The sequence below is a fragment of the Homo sapiens genome, chromosome 2 (genome assembly GCF_000001405.40).
Source record: "Homo sapiens chromosome 2, GRCh38.p14 Primary Assembly".
NCBI lineage: Eukaryota > Metazoa > Chordata > Mammalia > Primates > Hominidae > Homo > Homo sapiens.
In genome coordinates this window covers 205,776,138-205,792,193 of record NC_000002.12, presented here as the reverse complement: position 1 = coordinate 205,792,193, position 16,056 = coordinate 205,776,138, and the positions used below count along the sequence as shown (strand labels likewise).

Below are 16,056 nucleotides of genomic sequence, written 5' to 3'. Positions count from 1 at the left end.
TATCACCATGGCTAAAAGGCAGGGAGGCAATCTTTACGAGAATGACTCCCCATTCTGGCAGGCAGCTAGAGAATCACCTCTACTTCTAGATCATTCATTATGGACATTACTGGATTGTTCTCCTTCAGATGACCTGTGTCTTCCTCCAACCACAACCAGTAACACAGAACTAAGAAGAAACTCTGGGTCTTCAGTGCCAAGCAACCCCTGCCACTGTGCCTTTTTAATGACTGGCATTCATTAGGAACACAGGTTTCATTTAAGGCACCTTCAATGGCATCTTATGCCCAACAGCAGCTGCCTTTACTGGGATGTCCATTTAGTGTATCATGCTGCACCTCTTCATAGGCACGCATCTCAGTGGGCACAAAAGCATCAGAGTCTTTCTCCTCTGGATTTCATGTAAACATATGGTAGTTTAAGGAAGTCTTGTTTCATCATTATATGTTTTAATTTAAGAGCAGAAATGGAAGGCATGTCATAATGCCTGTTGACCTTCACATATCTGTGCTAATATTTCTCATCCTTCCCAAGTCTATTTTTCCTATTAGCTTTCTTCGTGGTTTAGAATAGATCAAAGATGGGCATCCAATCTGACTAGCCAGGCTAAGTTAATTTACTATGAGTTTTCTCCAGTATTATCACTGTCTATCTTTTTCTTTTTCATGATAATTTGGGAGGGTGATAATACAGGTCTCTCTATTCACTGTGCTGTCCAACTTATAGAAATCAGAACCACTGAAAGTTATCTGTCTAAAATGGTAAAACATTAATAGAGAACATCAAATGCATGGCAAAGAGCAACATCTTATCATTTCTTCCTATCTCACAAGCTAATTATGCCTTTCCAAGCTGTCAGCTCAAGACAGCCCCAGTGAATGTGTATGGCCCTCTCAGAGTTTTGTTCCACCAAGTCAGATAAACAATCTTGAAGTCACTACTATAAATTGAAATCCAAAAATCAAGGCTTAAAAGAAAATCAAAATCCCAAACGGCTGAAGTATCAGACAAGAGGGAGAAAAAGAACTTTAGACCATCCCGAAAGCTTCCTTCATCAGCACTACATCTCGGGGAAGATCTACTTGACCATGATCTGAACTGAGCATTGATCCATCACTGTCACATTTGAAATTCAGTCTTTTCCTGGAGGCCATGGTTTCAATCATGTTAGAAGTCTTTCTCATTTCTGGCCAAAGTGCTAAAGCACATTCTCATCCCCCTCGGTCCCTAGTAAGGGATGCACAAAACAACTTGCCAAGACCCCACTTAAAAGATTGATGCCACATGGCACTAATCCTCCATAACTCCAGCCCATTCCTTGCATGTTTAAAGCACAGCAAGTGGCACCTGCAGGCCACGCCAGCCTCCCCACCTCAACGCCCATTCCCTGCATTCTCCTCCAGGCCCCAACAGAGCAGGTTGTTTCCTTGGAAGGGAGATGTGAACATGAATCAACAAGAGGAAGGTGGTGTTTGTCACAGGGATCAAATCGAGCTTGTGAAAGTCAACCCACAGGGTTTTTTTCCATATGAAAAAAAAAAAAAACATGGAAGAAAACCGTCACATTTCCAACAATTAATTGGTTTGATGGGCTGCTCATATGTCTTAACATCTTCACCAGTAAAAGAGGCAGAACACTGGATAAGAATATGTGAATCAGCCTAGGATGAGAACCACGGGGCTCCTGCCAGTGACTTCTGGGCCAAATCCTATGCTTGCTTTTAGGGATCTTGTTTCTGCCAAGGATGTGATGAATTCTTGGAGGCTAGAATGCCATCTTGCTCCATCTCACACCCTCAGGGAAGAAGTCTTAGGATACCATAGATCACTGGCTGGAAAGGGGTGAATGTGGCATTGATCTTAAAGGAAAAAGGGTAAAATGATGCTAATGATTTTGAGAACATTTTATCACAGGAGATCACGGCCTCTTGTCTCTGGAGGTTGAGGACTGGATGAGATGATTTCCTAAGAATTGGCCCATTTCTAAGACTCAATGAAATCAATTGCCCAGATGCAGCTGAGATTTCTGCACCTGGAGAATCAAAGGCTACTTAAGGTGAAGAAGAACACTTTAGTGGCTTGACTTGGCTTTTTATATAATCACTGCTCCCCTGAGTTTGAGTGAGTGGGAAGGGGGTCAAAAAAAGGATAAGTTAATCAACATTTTCAAAAGCACATCTGTTCACCAAGCCTTAAAGAAAGAATGGCACACTGGGGAAAACACAAATAAAGGGAACATTTGTACAAAAAACCATTTACTTTGATAGCAATTTTCTCTAGTCCCCTTGCTAATATTCTTGATATCTGTGTTTGATTAAGAGCTTTCTCTCTCTCAAAAGCATCTTTGCCCTTTACCAGCCACTTTCCTTTTCTGTTGAGCCTGGTAGGTAAACTGCAGCCTGTTTCCTTAGGAGGCCAGCAGGAAGGAATGTGGTTCTCTCATTAGGTCCCTGTAGTTCTAGCAAAGAATAGGCAAGGTGTGGCAGGTAAGATGCTACCAGGAGAACCAACGGGTAAAGCTACCGGCCTCTGGGAGGCAGAGGGGAGAATGATGAGCTAGGAGCCCAAGGCAGAGGGTAGAGGCCACAGCTCCCTGGAAAGGGGAAATGGCAGCCACAGGATGGCAGACCTAGCTGCCGAAGTCAGGGCAGACATCAGGAGAGAGTGGGAGAAAGGAACCAGGGACTCAGAATTTTGTTTTCAATGGGGAAAACTTGAAGAGGAAGTTCCAGGACTCTGTTTTAGTGGGTGGGTGTGTTGGTGAGTGTGAGATGGGCTAGGGAGAGTGGAATGGGCCAAACCTCTAGAAGAATGCAGGTCAGGAAGGGATCTTACCACCCACACGAGTTCCGCTTTCAACCTTTGTGCTCCCATGACCCTGTTTCCTTCTAGGCCCCCATGTGGATTCAGTCTCAGGTCAGCCTGACTACAAATACTGACTCTCAAATAACTGTATTAGGGCCAGGGTGGATCCCCAGTCTGCATTCAAGTTCTTTGGGTGTGGCTGGGACACTGTAACTACCACCATATCCCTACTGCCCCCTTCTAATAAAATAAAAGAGTCTGCCTTATCTCAGATCCGGATTGGCTGGATACACACTTTGGTTGCCTGTTTCACTGGCTCACTACTTTGATAGAGTAGGGCTTTGAGGGGCTTCTCATGAACATGAAGAAGTGGGGATCTGAAATTTGGGGTTTCATGCTTTCCATGACAGGCATCACCCAGAGCAGGAAACTAAATTACATTGTTCTTCAAAGGGCAGTTTTCATTAACCAACTAACCAGCCTAACACCACTTAGTAAGAGGGCTCACTGCATGCCCAGGAAACAAACTGATGACTTTGGAAAATAAAGATGTAAGGGACCAGGTGTCTACCATCAAGGCCCTTCAGGGTGGTTGGGAAGTGAAGACTCACCCATGCCAAATTAGCATGAAAGAAAGTGAGGCATTGCGGAGAGGACTCCCAAGTGCTGCTGGAGTCCAGGGCAGGGATTGGGCAAATGAGCCTGGGCCACTATCAGGAAGGAAAATGTGGGAGTGTAGAGGAGGATACTGTGGAATTGAGGCTGCTGCAAGTTGGGCATCGGGGGATTTCTGTTCCCTTTATCTGTCTGATTGATAGAAATGCTTTCAAACATGGCACCTGATCTCTTGTCTTTTGGCTTGCATTCATTCGTATCAGGCTCATCAAGGAATTCAAAGCGATCACCTAGCTTTGCCACAAATCTTCCACCTTGCATATATCTATGTGAGAGTCAGACCTCTGCCTTCCCGATCTCCAACACCCATCCCTTCCCCAGCTGTTGCAGATCAGCACAGTGAGAGAAAGAGGTCAGCTCTGAATGAATGATGGGAAGGGGTTTTACAGAGCTTGAGTAATCAAGTGGGCACAGTAGCTACTGCTTAAAAACAAATACAACCCAACTTCACAAAACTCTGGTCATTTTCATATGAAGATCAGTCTCAGGCCAAAAAGTCACCTTATTTTGGTCAGTGTCCCTTCTCTCTGCATCATCGAGAGACAGAGTAGGTACACGGTGAGGCATGATTCAAGGTCTCACTGATCTCCTGCTGTCCTGATTTTTTGGAATGAGAGACCAGGGTGGCTAGTTATGAAAACACCCACAAGACTGTTCCAGAAACACCCTCCACCCTGGAAGAGTCAAATATTCTCTAGTGTGCTTGTCAATACATTGCAACACTACGGCACAAAGGGTGAACGCCATATCCAGTCACAAACCCAACCTCTTCTAATGAAATAAGCTTTTCCCTGGAACACTGCCTGGTAGTGTAAGACCACACATGCTGCTCAGGGGAAACACCCCCAAGACACTCCAACCTGCTGCCTGGAAATTCCTACTGAGAATGATTTAGTCCTCAAATAAGAAGGCCCTCTCTTATGGCCCTTTCCATTCTTTCTCACTCTCTCTTTCTCTGACACACACACACACACACACACACACACACACACACAGACACTTTTTTTTATCTTTCCTCTCTCCCTCATTTTCTTCCTTCTTCTAAGTTAAGATTATTTGGGATTAGCATTCCTTCATTAGTTTGCTTTTCTGCAGTTTCTTACAGAAAATTCTCAGCCTTCGCTCTGTGTCTACACAGAGCATATTGTATGAGTATATTGGCCTCGACACTGTTTACTTCCCGCATTGTAAAGGAGCTTCACAATATGGCCAGGAAAGTGAGAAGTCTGCCCCAAACCACTGGTTACTTTTGGGTAAATAATTTAAGACAGCCCTGGGACACAGATCATTTCAGGTCACTAATGTGCTGGTTTCTTTGAAGAGTCCCTTCCATGCCAACCCTGAGCAGTGGATTAAGAGGTCTGCTTGAAGCTGATGACAGGCTTGTCATCTGGAGTGTACAGCAGAGACACTCAGAAGCCTGGTCAGTGGCAGCATCACCCTGCACTGAAGGAAGCGGCGTGGGATGTGGAGGGCCCTAGGCTGGGGGCGGAATGCCTACCTCCCATGTGGTTCTGCCTCAGGTGTCAGAGCCTTGACCAGTCATTGACCTCCCTGGGTCTCTGTTTGCTCCTCTGTAAAGTAAACACTGATGCTCTCCTCTCCTCTAGAATTCCCTTGTCTTTACAGGAAGGAAATGAGAAAGGTACGAGGGCCTTTCTGATGAGGGTTCTTTGAAGAGGGTGATGGTTGAGGGAGACAAGGCAACTTCTGAACAAAAGGGCTCCATTGCCCCATGATGCTCACTGCCCCATTCTTCACCCTAACTCTGTCCTCTCCTGGGAGTGGCCACTCCCTGAAACCATTTGTTTTAAGGTGTGCACAGAAAGAGAAGACCACAAAAAGGACAGGTCAAGAGAACCCATGAGGTTCTATGTGTTCAATACTTGCCCGTTTGGCTCAGGACTTAGTCCTGCTAATTGGTGACTGAGGAACTGACAAAGTGGGTAAATTGTGCCTATAGTTTTAAGCCTCTGTGTTAACTGAGGCTGGGCTGAGAAAACCTCATGGAAAGCCAGTCTTAGCACATCCACTTAACCTACCACATTTCAACCAGCCTTGAAGGCAAGGATCGAAGAGCCTCTTACACACAGGAAACCACTGAAATCATTCATTTTCACAGGTACCAGGTGTCATCACTTTGACTTTAGAGATGAAATTGAGGAGGGAGGGTAGAGAAGTGCAATAAGTCATTGAATAAATCAGCAGTAGAACTGAGAGTAAGCCATAGATTTTCAACACCTTGTTTGGGGGCTGTGATTTATTTGGGATAAGCTCTTGGCCACTTAGTGCCTTTGTTGAACTTGATTCCAAGTTTCTGAACCCCATGGGCCAGTTAAATCGCTGGATTTTTCAGATGAGTAGCCTCCAGAAACTTCTCTCAGCCATTCTCTTTTAATCCCAGCAGGAAATACAACACTGAGACCTCAGTAAAAGATAAATAACAAAGGACTAAGGAGATTCTTCTTGGCACTTCAAAATTCGGTTTAATTCAGTTTAATATTTAGTATTGGCTGAAGGTCCGCCTTCCCCACCACACTTAATTTCCCAATTCAGTTTGTTCATCCAAGTTGCAATAAGGAGCCAAACATTCAGGTGTTGATCTAAACTTTGCCAAATCTCCTCTGTTAAGAAGTCGGGCTACTTGAGAGCCATTCATTCCTTGCTGGGTTTGGCTTGAGTTTAGAAGCACCATCAGAAGAGCCTTTATCACAGGCTTTTATCTCTTGGGCTACAGCCAAATCTAGGCACGGTCATGGAAAAAATATTTTTTGGAATTTTTCAAATGGTTTCAAGTGCGGAAAAAAAAGGAGGGGGCTTGGTGTGAGATTACTGGAAGAGTTTGATCTTGAATTTAGCCATTCGTTTCTATTATTTTTAGTTGAATAACTAGAAGGAAACACTAAAAAGAATTGGAAATACTGACTGCAAACAAGAAGACTGTGAAATGACCTAGTAATACTTTCAAGTGTGGAGGCGGATGAGCAGCTGAGGCCAGAATGTCTCCAATGAGCCCCAACAATGGCATGAAAAGAAGAAAAATGCAGCCAGAGACATGTTTGGCTATAAAGATAGGCTTCACAATTGTGCAGACTGGAAAAACACAGCAAAGCTGATGAAAGAAAATTCTAGAACCTCTTTTTTACCCCAAGTCTTTGAAAAATCAGCTATTCTCCATTGTTGTAAGTAGATATGTGAACAAGCAATTGGCTCTTTTCATTTCTTTTGTTGGCTACCTTCTCTTAGGGCATGAGGGTGGGAAAAACAGAGCATTTCAAGGAAAACCTGCTGTTTTTTCCCCCTCTTGTGTAGTCTTATTTTTTTTCCTGGGATGCTAGGGGAAAAAGTCATGTATCTTCATATTTCAGGGAGTTTTTTTCCAGTGGGCTTTGAAATTTCTCCCCTCCTCTAGTTCCAATATTTGAGGTGTGGATGTTAGAAACATCACTATGTCACTCAGATGGAGTGGTTTGGTACAACCTTGGACAAGTGAGAAAATGGAGTTGAAGAATCAAAACTGCATCCATTTCCAATGTGAAGAAGAATATCTTCTGAAAGATAGCCCCTTTTATTTTGTAGGTCCTTGAAAAGAAACTGTACACCTGTATGTCACTAACAGAATTCACTGTACTTAAAAGATGGGCTCTTCTTCTGAACACAAGAATGAATGAGAATGAATGACTCTGTGATATCATTTTACAGCTACCAAAAATGTACCTCTCTCTGCCCATTCAAGAGATGATTTCCCCCAATAGCTTGCTGGTGGCCAAGGACCGTAATTACTAAGAGACCTGGCTTCAGGTGTGGTCCCCTGTAAAAATGCAATTATTGGAGGAAGTAGCCATGCGGCATTTGTGTGAAGGAATCTGACCCATGCTTTTTTGAAGAAGGCATTGATGGATGAAGGGAAAGAGAAAGTGTAAGGATGCCAGAGAAGAAAAGGGGTCAGCAAGAGAAGGGGAAGGTGCAGAAAGGGGATTTTGGAGGTTGGAGACAAACTGCACCTGGCACAAAGGCAGATGAGTGGTGACCAGCTCCTCCACAGAGAAAGAGGTGGAGACCCTAGCCACATCAGGAGGTGCAGAGCCAGAAAGCAGTGATGGGTTTGTGGGCCCAGGACCCCTGTAAACACTAATATGGGGCTCATCCTCTTAGGCCACAGTTGGCCAAGGCGAATGAGGCATCTCTGGGGCTCCTTTCACACACCCATGTTGGCCCCATCTAGGTTGTAATAACTACCATCTCACTCTCAATGCCAGCTGTGGGGCTGCCCTAGAGAAGCCATGGGGAGGCCCACACCAGCCCCTGAAATCCTCATGCCTGTTCTCGCAGGCCCTGGGTGGCAGCAAGAAAACACAAAGAGACAAAAAGTTTCTTTGTGCTTAAATGAAGCTTCAATAACTAGCAGGCTTTGGAGAATGAGACTTTGGTCAAGGCTGCCTCTAGCTCAAGGCTTTCTGCACACCCATCGTTACTGGAGCTGGCTGCTCTTTAATAAGTTGCAGGGAAGTCCAGTCCAGGCATCCTGTTAATGAGTCCTGCTGCTGGAGAAAGAAACTGGTATTGCTGAAAGCCGTGGCATGGTATACTATCATTCCAATTCTGGAGCAGAGCCTTTGTTTTGGGGAATGTTCGTGATATTTAAAGGATTTAATTTTGCGCAATTACACAGAGAAGACAAAACAAGGCACTGTGTGTGTGTGTGTGTGTGTCAGAGAGAGATGCACTCTAGTTCATCCAGATCTCAACTCATGCTGCTTTCTTTCCTGAGTTAAATACTCATACCTCATGCCCAGGAGGCAATGGTCCTGGATTTTTGGCAGGTCAGGGAAAGCACACACTGGACCTATATAGCCACACACACTCCATTATGTTCAAAGTCAAAGCCACTTTGTTATGACACTTTTCTCTCAGCACACCACAGAAATGAGGGCAGTGCTTTTGCTAGAAATGGTGTTTGGACTGACAGGTCTCTGGGCTTCTCCTCCACCCGCCATTCCTTGCTACTGGCCCCTGTGGGGGCTAGTAGCTTTGCCTATGCCTATAAACATCCCACTAGAAAACCACCTCACTGCCTAGTGCCTTTCCTTTGGGTATTGCAGCCCTGAACTTCCTCAGAAGGAAGCCCACAAGGTCTGCCCCTCTTGGGGCCAGTGTGGGGGCCTGTGGTCCAAGGCCTCTCAAATTTGAGACTTTTTCTTGGTGTGTAGGTTTACCTCTGGCTGCTGGGATAGTTTAGTCTGCAGCACAATACTGCATACTGACCTTAAGGGATGTTTTTTACATAAATTTTTTAGTAGAAAACATAAATAAATAACAGCATGGCACAGCACAGGCATTCTTTGAAGAAAGCAAGTGGAACTCATTAATCATGGAGAACAGGACTCTGCCTGATGAACCCAGGGACAGAATTAACTCCAGTGACACAGCCACCACAGCTCTGGGGAGCTGACACTTAGAGCCAGGTCCATATTCCCCGTAAGTTGGCAGTTAAAAAAAAGAACGTTCTGAAGAAACACTCCCTGAGTTTAAAATTATCTTCAGCTAAAAGTGCCCAAGGTCTTCTCTTGCAAGCAACACACCCACTGTAGAGAAAGAGAGATAGGCATAGAGATCACATGGGTTGGGCAGATGTGGCAGGGGCTCTACAGCCAGGACGTCCACTAGTTTCTGCTATGCTCTCAAGCAGGGACAGGTTAATTTTAAACGGCAAACCTCAGCCTTTTATAGCACCTACTAAAATGAAAACAGGGATGTGTTTGACCCAGAAATTCTATCCTTTGTAAAACATGTGCCCAAAGAAGCAATTTCAAGGATGTTCATTGCAGTATTGTTTATAATAGTAAAAAAAAAAAAAACTAGACACAGTCTGAACACTCATCAACAGGGGAGCAGTTAATACACTCTGGCATATCAACACAATATGGAATGCTATGCTGCAGATATAAAGGATGGGGTAGATGCATTAGTATGTACTGAATTACCCTCAAGATGTCAAATGAAAAGAAGCAAGTCATCCAATATAGTAAGCAAACACTGTGCTACCATTTACACAAAACCAAATGAAACCAAACTAAACCCCAGCTTAACCAAACCACATAACTCAACATGAACATACATGTTTGTAAAGGTATAAAACAAGGCCTGGAAACATACTCCTCAAACCATCCCTCACAGTTACCTCTGGGGAGGTGACTGGGATTGGTCAACAATGAAATCGACTTTGGCTTTTTCTGTATTATTGCACTTTTTGAGCATGTTTAACTTGTGAGTTAAAGAAACCCAGCCAGTTACTATAAAGTCTCCCTCCAGCAGCCTCCCTGTATCATCAGTATCAATACACTCTCAAGCAATGAAACTCCGAGAAAAGAGGTTTTCCCACATAACACTCAGTCCTCCCTCAAGTACCTCTGTTGTTGACTGTTCAAATGGTCTTTCCTATTTCTTGGTCCAATGCCCACGGGACTTTAGCTTTTTGGGGCTCTCAGGGGTCAGTGGCAGAAAAGGCCAAGAACAACTGTTTTACCCAGTAGAGAGGAGATGATTCTAGGTCTGTTATCCACTGGGATTGGGGAAAGAATGGCTTCGGCTTGGTTGTGCTGAAGCACCTAGATTCTCCACTGTTCCATACCATGCTAAATAAGGTTTTGCTCTTGGCGATTTCCCAAATCTTGTCGCTCTTCAGTGTTTAGGTTTGGGTCCAAACAGAACACCTCCAAGCAGTCAGGGCAAACATACTCTGGCCCAGGCTTGTGGCCTGAAGACCCCTAAGGGTGTGGGTTTCTGATTGTATCTGACCTCTATACATACTGTGGTGCACCTGATCTGTGTCAGGATTAATTAAATCCTACACTATTCCTAGCTACTAATTTATTTGTATGAGGCAATTCTTTTCCCTGCTGATTGTAAGATCATCAGCTGGTGTTCCCCTCGCCCCCTCCCTTTTTCTCTGGTTGGATTTGTTTTGTGTTTTCTTTGGGCTGTCACTAAAGTGTATGAAAGGCAAATTACAGCTGTGAGAGCCCCAGTGATCTGCACAATTAAAGAGAAAAAACAAGCCTTCACCTACAGATCTGCAGTTTGGCTCAGATGTGTAGCCCACAATGCAGGCAAGTCAAAACTTCAGGATGTAGCTCTTTTCATCAGAGATTACAGAAAGGCCACACGTTTGTGCAGAACAACTGCAGAGGCCGTGAAGAGGGGCAAGGAAAATAAACACTGTGCCACCTCAGCTTGGCTGGGTTTCGGTTATCTGAGCTAGGGGGGCAGTGGGTGAAGAGAGAACACACACTGAAACCATCACAAAGAACCAGGTAGGAGCAGAAACAGACCGGCCTAGGCCTTGACATCTGGTATTTATGATCCATGGAAACAAAATTTCTGAACATTTATGCTTGGGCTACATAAGAAATGCCACACTGAGGAGTGTTTGGTGGTAACAGTGCCCTGTTTGACATCTAAGATTGGAGTCCTAACAGTCCTTGCCCTTTTAGGGGGAGTAAGTACCCTTAAAATAAGTCTTGGGACTAGAACCAAGGTGGGAAAATTCCCAAACATGGTTCCAAAAACAGTAATGCCAACAAAGCATAAGTGATGGCTAATTTAGTTCAGTCCGGCAAGTTTGGTCCCAGGTCAGCTCAAGGAAATGTTGACTGAGCCTGGGTCTTTGTTTGAAATCAACACTTTTGAGATATTTTTATTTCATTCTTTACTAATGGGAACAAATGGCTTTAAGGAAAGCCAAATGTTATTTAGACAAAAGGGGTAATTGAGCTTGTCACTGGGGAAACAAAAAATGCTCTGATCACTGACATTCTACTTTATTCTCCTGCAAGGGACAGATAGTGACATCTATACTGAACCATCTGTACTAACAGAACTTCCTGTAAGATCTAAAAACCGGAAGCCTGTCTCCTTTTAGCAGCACTTGGACAGGTTTTACAGCTGTAAAAAGCACTCCTTCCTGGATCTAGGTTTGGATAGGATGAAAAGCAGGACTCTGACAGAAATAGGATCTTCTGAACATGTACATTTTCTCAGGACCTTTAAGGATGGTTCTCGGACCCCTGAGGAGGGCTCCCAGGTTGTCAGAAGGCCTCTGATAAATCCCATGAATGGGGTTGGTGGGAAATCCTATCTGCAAATAGGATTAATGTGACCTCTTCTTGACCACTATCTAGAAACCATGAACTGCTGGGAGGCTGCCTTTCCTAGATTTTCCCCCACCTGGCCCAACCCAGTTCCCTTCTGATAGAAATATTTTATATAACTGGGTCACCATCTAAAGAGGAGGACCAAAGAAAAATACTCATCAAGAAAGACCTGGCCTTCTGAGTAAGTTTCCCCAAGTGCCTCTCCTCAAAGTTTTATAGTGTTCCTTTCATAAAATGTTCCACTCTGATAGTTCTATGTCCACAGTCATCATCTAATTATCTTCATTACCTGTTCAAAAATGAAGTCTAGAATATCTTTCAGCCCTGAACATGCTACAAGTTCCCGTTTTGTCTGGGAAAGCGCTCGTAAATGGGAGATTCACATCCCTGTGGAAGTAATAATTGGGTAGGTGAGGGGTAAGATGTCACTGCTGCTTCTTCAAAGGAAGTGATCTGTCTCTGCAGAGCTGGGTACAGGATTCAGCTTAGCTGGTACCACTCTCCCGGAGCCCTTTGAAAGTAGAATCTAATCTCCAGGGATTTGTCATCAAGAGAAATTTCGTGGAATCTCATTTAGCAATTTAGCACTTAGCAACTTTTGCAAAATCCCACACCAATCATAAAAGTTGTCTCAGCTGCACAAATTGGATAAAAATCCTAACAAGCAGTAATAAAAATAAAAAGAAGGAAAAGTTGGCATTCAGCCTCAAGGAGAAAACCCACCTACCTCCCACAGAAATGCCCTGTAGCTCAGAAGGTGATGTGTAAACTTTGGAAGCATCAGTTTGCTCAAAGCCTACATTTCAACTTTGTTCTCACAGGCAAAGGGAAAAAAAACCTCACATGTTTGTATAAAAATATCATCATTTTATTACATTCCACACAATACATTTTCAAATAATTTCCAACGTCCACAAGTTATTTTGACACACAGGCAACTGAGCAATGCAAGGGGTGTCACAGTAATAAGGAAAGGAATAAGAATAGGAAGTAAAAATCTTTAGGTTTTCTTGTTTCGTTGTTGTTCTTTGGTAATTTTCGATTATTTAGGTGTTTGCCTGCTAGTTTCATTTTAAAGACAGGGTCTTCTTAAAGATCGGCTATCAACTTCAGAAATAGTACTGTATTTCCTATTCAATTCTGGCTTTAATCCCAAAAATGTGGGACAAGGGAAAAGACAATTTTACTTTATCTTCAGCATCCAGTTTTGTCAATGACAATGCTGATTTTTTGTTTTCTTTTTCTGCCTTCGCCAGGAACTAAGTGATGGCAATTGCTAGCATAATATCATGGAAGGGGAGTTCAACCCAGAAATAAGGGCTTCCCTCCTGAAGGTGTTGACATAAAACCTCTACTAAGGCAAAAGCTTTATCAGCCCGAGCTAGGCCTTCAACTCATTCACTCATTCATTCATTCATATTTTAATAGTTGCTATCATCTCTTTGTCTTCTGAGAAGCAACTCTAAACACATGCATGCATGCATTCGCCTGTCCAGTCTATTTTTCTTAGAAGAGAATGACCCTTCCCTCCCTCCATGAAATACAGAATTTTGCTTTTTGAAGCTGCGAAGCATGGCATTTTACAGAAGAGCTGACCTTTTAGCACAGTACCTGGATAACACTATGAAAATTGCTGGGGTAGACAGAGCAAAGGCAGAGGTTGCAGGATGGGGAGTGACAGAGAAGGTGACATCCTCAGCTGAAGTGTGAAGGCATTCACAAAGATTAGAGCAGTCTCATATTCTCAACTAAGGCATGTACATAAAGATGATGCCACTTGGGGCATCAGATAAAGATATAGAAAGTTCACAAAGTTGTTGTCACCTTCTGTTACAGAAGGGGAATCATCAGGGTATATGGTAACTCAGCTGGTCACTACACTGGCTGTATTTTCCAGACATAATTTCTCAATGCCACACCTCTATGGGGCACCTACAGGAATGTCAATCATTTCGCAGGCATGCCTGGCCCCAAATGCATGACTGGATGTGGACAGCCGAGGTAAAAGCCCTTAATGAGTGGCATATTAGTCATCACATGGTACCCTGGGCTGATCCCCTCTCCACTCCCCGTTTCTCCATCTTCAGCTGAGGTAGGACACTTCTTGAAATCTCAAGGTAGCACATGCTCTAGCCTTTCATCTTGCCTTTTCTTGGCAGGGCTGCTGTGGTTGAGACAGAGTAGCTCTTTGAAATAGAGTAAGAGTGGGAGAGCACCGTTCTTTCGGGAGGATGAAACGAACCAGATGAGAAAGTTGAGTGTGTGTGCTGAAGGGACATATCTGGATATCGTGAAAGAATGCTGAAAGTCTCTCCCAAGCAGCCAAAAAAAAAAAAAAAATCATTAGTATTTTGTTCTCAGAAGGAACCTGGAGGCTTTTGGCCCAGGCAAACTTCTTTGGAGTGAATTTTATACCTCCCCAGTGGATTTTTAGCAGGAAAGTAAAAAATAAATGCTCCCGAGGCTGAGACCTCATACACTGAGAATCTTAAAATTTGCATTTTCTATCAATGAAATTGACTTCATTATTTAATCCATCCTTTGTACAGTATCATTAGCAACTTCTCTCTTACATCCCGCTCCCCTTGTTGCTTAGAGAAGACACATGAGCAGCAATGGTTACATCTTCATTTGACCTTCTCTGTGATGATGCGGCAACATCTGAATATGCCAGGCCAGCCTACAAGGGTCTATTTGCCAGATGCCATGAATGTTTTAAGGGGCAGCACATAGGTACACTTAAAAAGTGATTACTTTCTATTCTCTGATAATATTTAAATAAGTCAGGTGGACAGCCTTACATTTTAGCGGCTATAGATTCAGGCACACATTAACACCATGAAAGGAAAGCAAATGATCCCTTTTCCCCCCATATTTTACAACTGCTATTACAATGACCAATATAATACCAAAGTATATGTTTTTTAACCTTCGTACTCAACCCCATCCCAAGTTGGGCCCAATAACCACCCTGGGTGAGGAGACATTTCAGTTCTTCCCTCTCCTCCCTTCTCTCGTCCACCTCCTCCTCCTCTCAACTTAAACAGACTACTGTTTTTCCTACGTCAGTCCCAGACTTGTTATTCTCTATGACTTATTCCAAGATTGGATGTAACTGATAAAGGCTAAACATTCATTATGAGCTTCTCTTTTATAAGGCAACATGAGACAGATTTGCTTTAGGGCTGGAGAGGTGGTTCCGCAGACACCCAGTGGCTGTTATCTTGACATTTCAAAGACACCAGAAGACAAGGGGGTCTTGTTTGAGTGTGCTAGGGGAACCTTCTCTTGGGTCAGGTGGGTTGGGGATAGGGATGGGAGAAGCCACACTGCATCCCATGTGGCCTCTATTTCTTTAGGTACCTGGAGATGACAATGACAGCCAACAGAAACCCAGCCAGAGCTAGATAAGGCAACAAAAAGCTTCAATCTCTTCTCCAAGTAAACAAAACTTGTACAGTATATTATTTTCTTGTAAAATGTACCCCAGGAGAAGTAACATAAGAGTTAAAGGGGCCCTCTCTGAACACTCACCCCTCGCCCAAACACACACACAATGAACCAGCCGCTCTCTCACACACCCACACACAGAGAGCTATTCACACACACACATGTCTACTATGTACATACACACAGATCCAGGCTTCCCCTCACGTCTCCTGGCAGACTGCCCACTGAGAGGAGGTATGGGATAAGGCAAGGGGAAAAAACAAGCGAACCAGTCTCTGGAACAAAACCAGCTGAGCCTTGAGTTGTGGAGTGCTTGGGGGTGGATCTCTTCGGATAGTCCAAGATGCAGCATTAGAGTTGGGTTTGTTGGTTTGGAATCAACAAAAAGGAAAAAGAAAAACCAGAAACCAAAATGAACCCAAGGAGGATGGTTGGGATTGATAAGAGTGCTCAGGGTTGGGGATCCGGGAAAGAGATGTCTGAGAGTTCACACAGAAACTAGGCGAGGAGAAAAAAGTGCAAAATCGAGGCAACATGTTTGCAGTCTTTCTCGTTTGTTTTGGGTGCTGTTCTTGCTTCGGCCCTCAGCAGTGCGAGCCACGGTCTTGCTCTAGCTTAATGGTTAGGGTGGGCTCCACCGCCAGAGGGGCCCCGTTGGTGTAGTGGGAGGTTTTGTAGGTGATGGAGTGATCGGTCTTCTTGGCCGCATAGCGGAACCGGTGGTAGTGGAGCACCAGGGCCAGCGCGACGGAGACCAGCACCAGCACGGCGCCCCCGGCGGCCATTACGTAATACCAGTAGGCTGGGATGGGCTGCATGGGCACCGTGTCCACTGTGGGCTCGGTCCCTGGCAGGAGGGTGCCCCCTGGTGGAGAGACACAGAAGAGTGTTGCTAGGCTGAGAGCATGCAGACTAATCAAAAGACTAATTTAAAAAAAGAAAGAAACACACACATGCTTTGGGACATACAGGG

The 16,056-nt window shown here is 44.2% G+C and overlaps 1 protein-coding gene across 15 annotated transcripts in view, besides 1 other annotated feature; it reads right to left on the bottom strand.

Annotated features, from left to right (window-relative positions):
* Positions 1–16,056, bottom strand: part of NRP2 (neuropilin 2) — a 115,631-nt gene that overhangs the window by 5,938 nt on the left and 93,637 nt on the right. For 5 of the 15 annotated variants that reach the window (NM_018534.4, NM_201267.2, XM_047446174.1 and 2 more), the window contains one exon: positions 12,480–15,948. The exons of 8 other annotated variants lie outside the window; for them this stretch is intronic. In NM_018534.4, the coding sequence (NP_061004.3) occupies positions 15,668–15,948 (281 nt within the window). In that variant the 3' untranslated portion in view covers positions 12,480–15,667. Of the gene's footprint in view, positions 1–659; positions 6,815–12,479; positions 15,949–16,056 lie in introns of those variants that run through there. 2 more of the 15 variants (XM_017005188.3, XR_923057.4) reach the window with 2 other exon arrangements.
* Positions 10,562–10,785: a silencer, noted in NCBI's record as "fragment chr2:206646133-206646356 (GRCh37/hg19 assembly coordinates)". NCBI's record gives its function as "represses an EF-1alpha promoter that drives an FKBP-Casp9 reporter gene in an ReSE screen in phorbol 12-myristate 13-acetate-treated (for megakaryocytic differentiation) K562 erythroleukemia cells {active_cell/tissue: K562(+PMA)}" and the evidence as "EXISTENCE:reporter gene assay evidence [ECO:0000049][PMID:32094911]".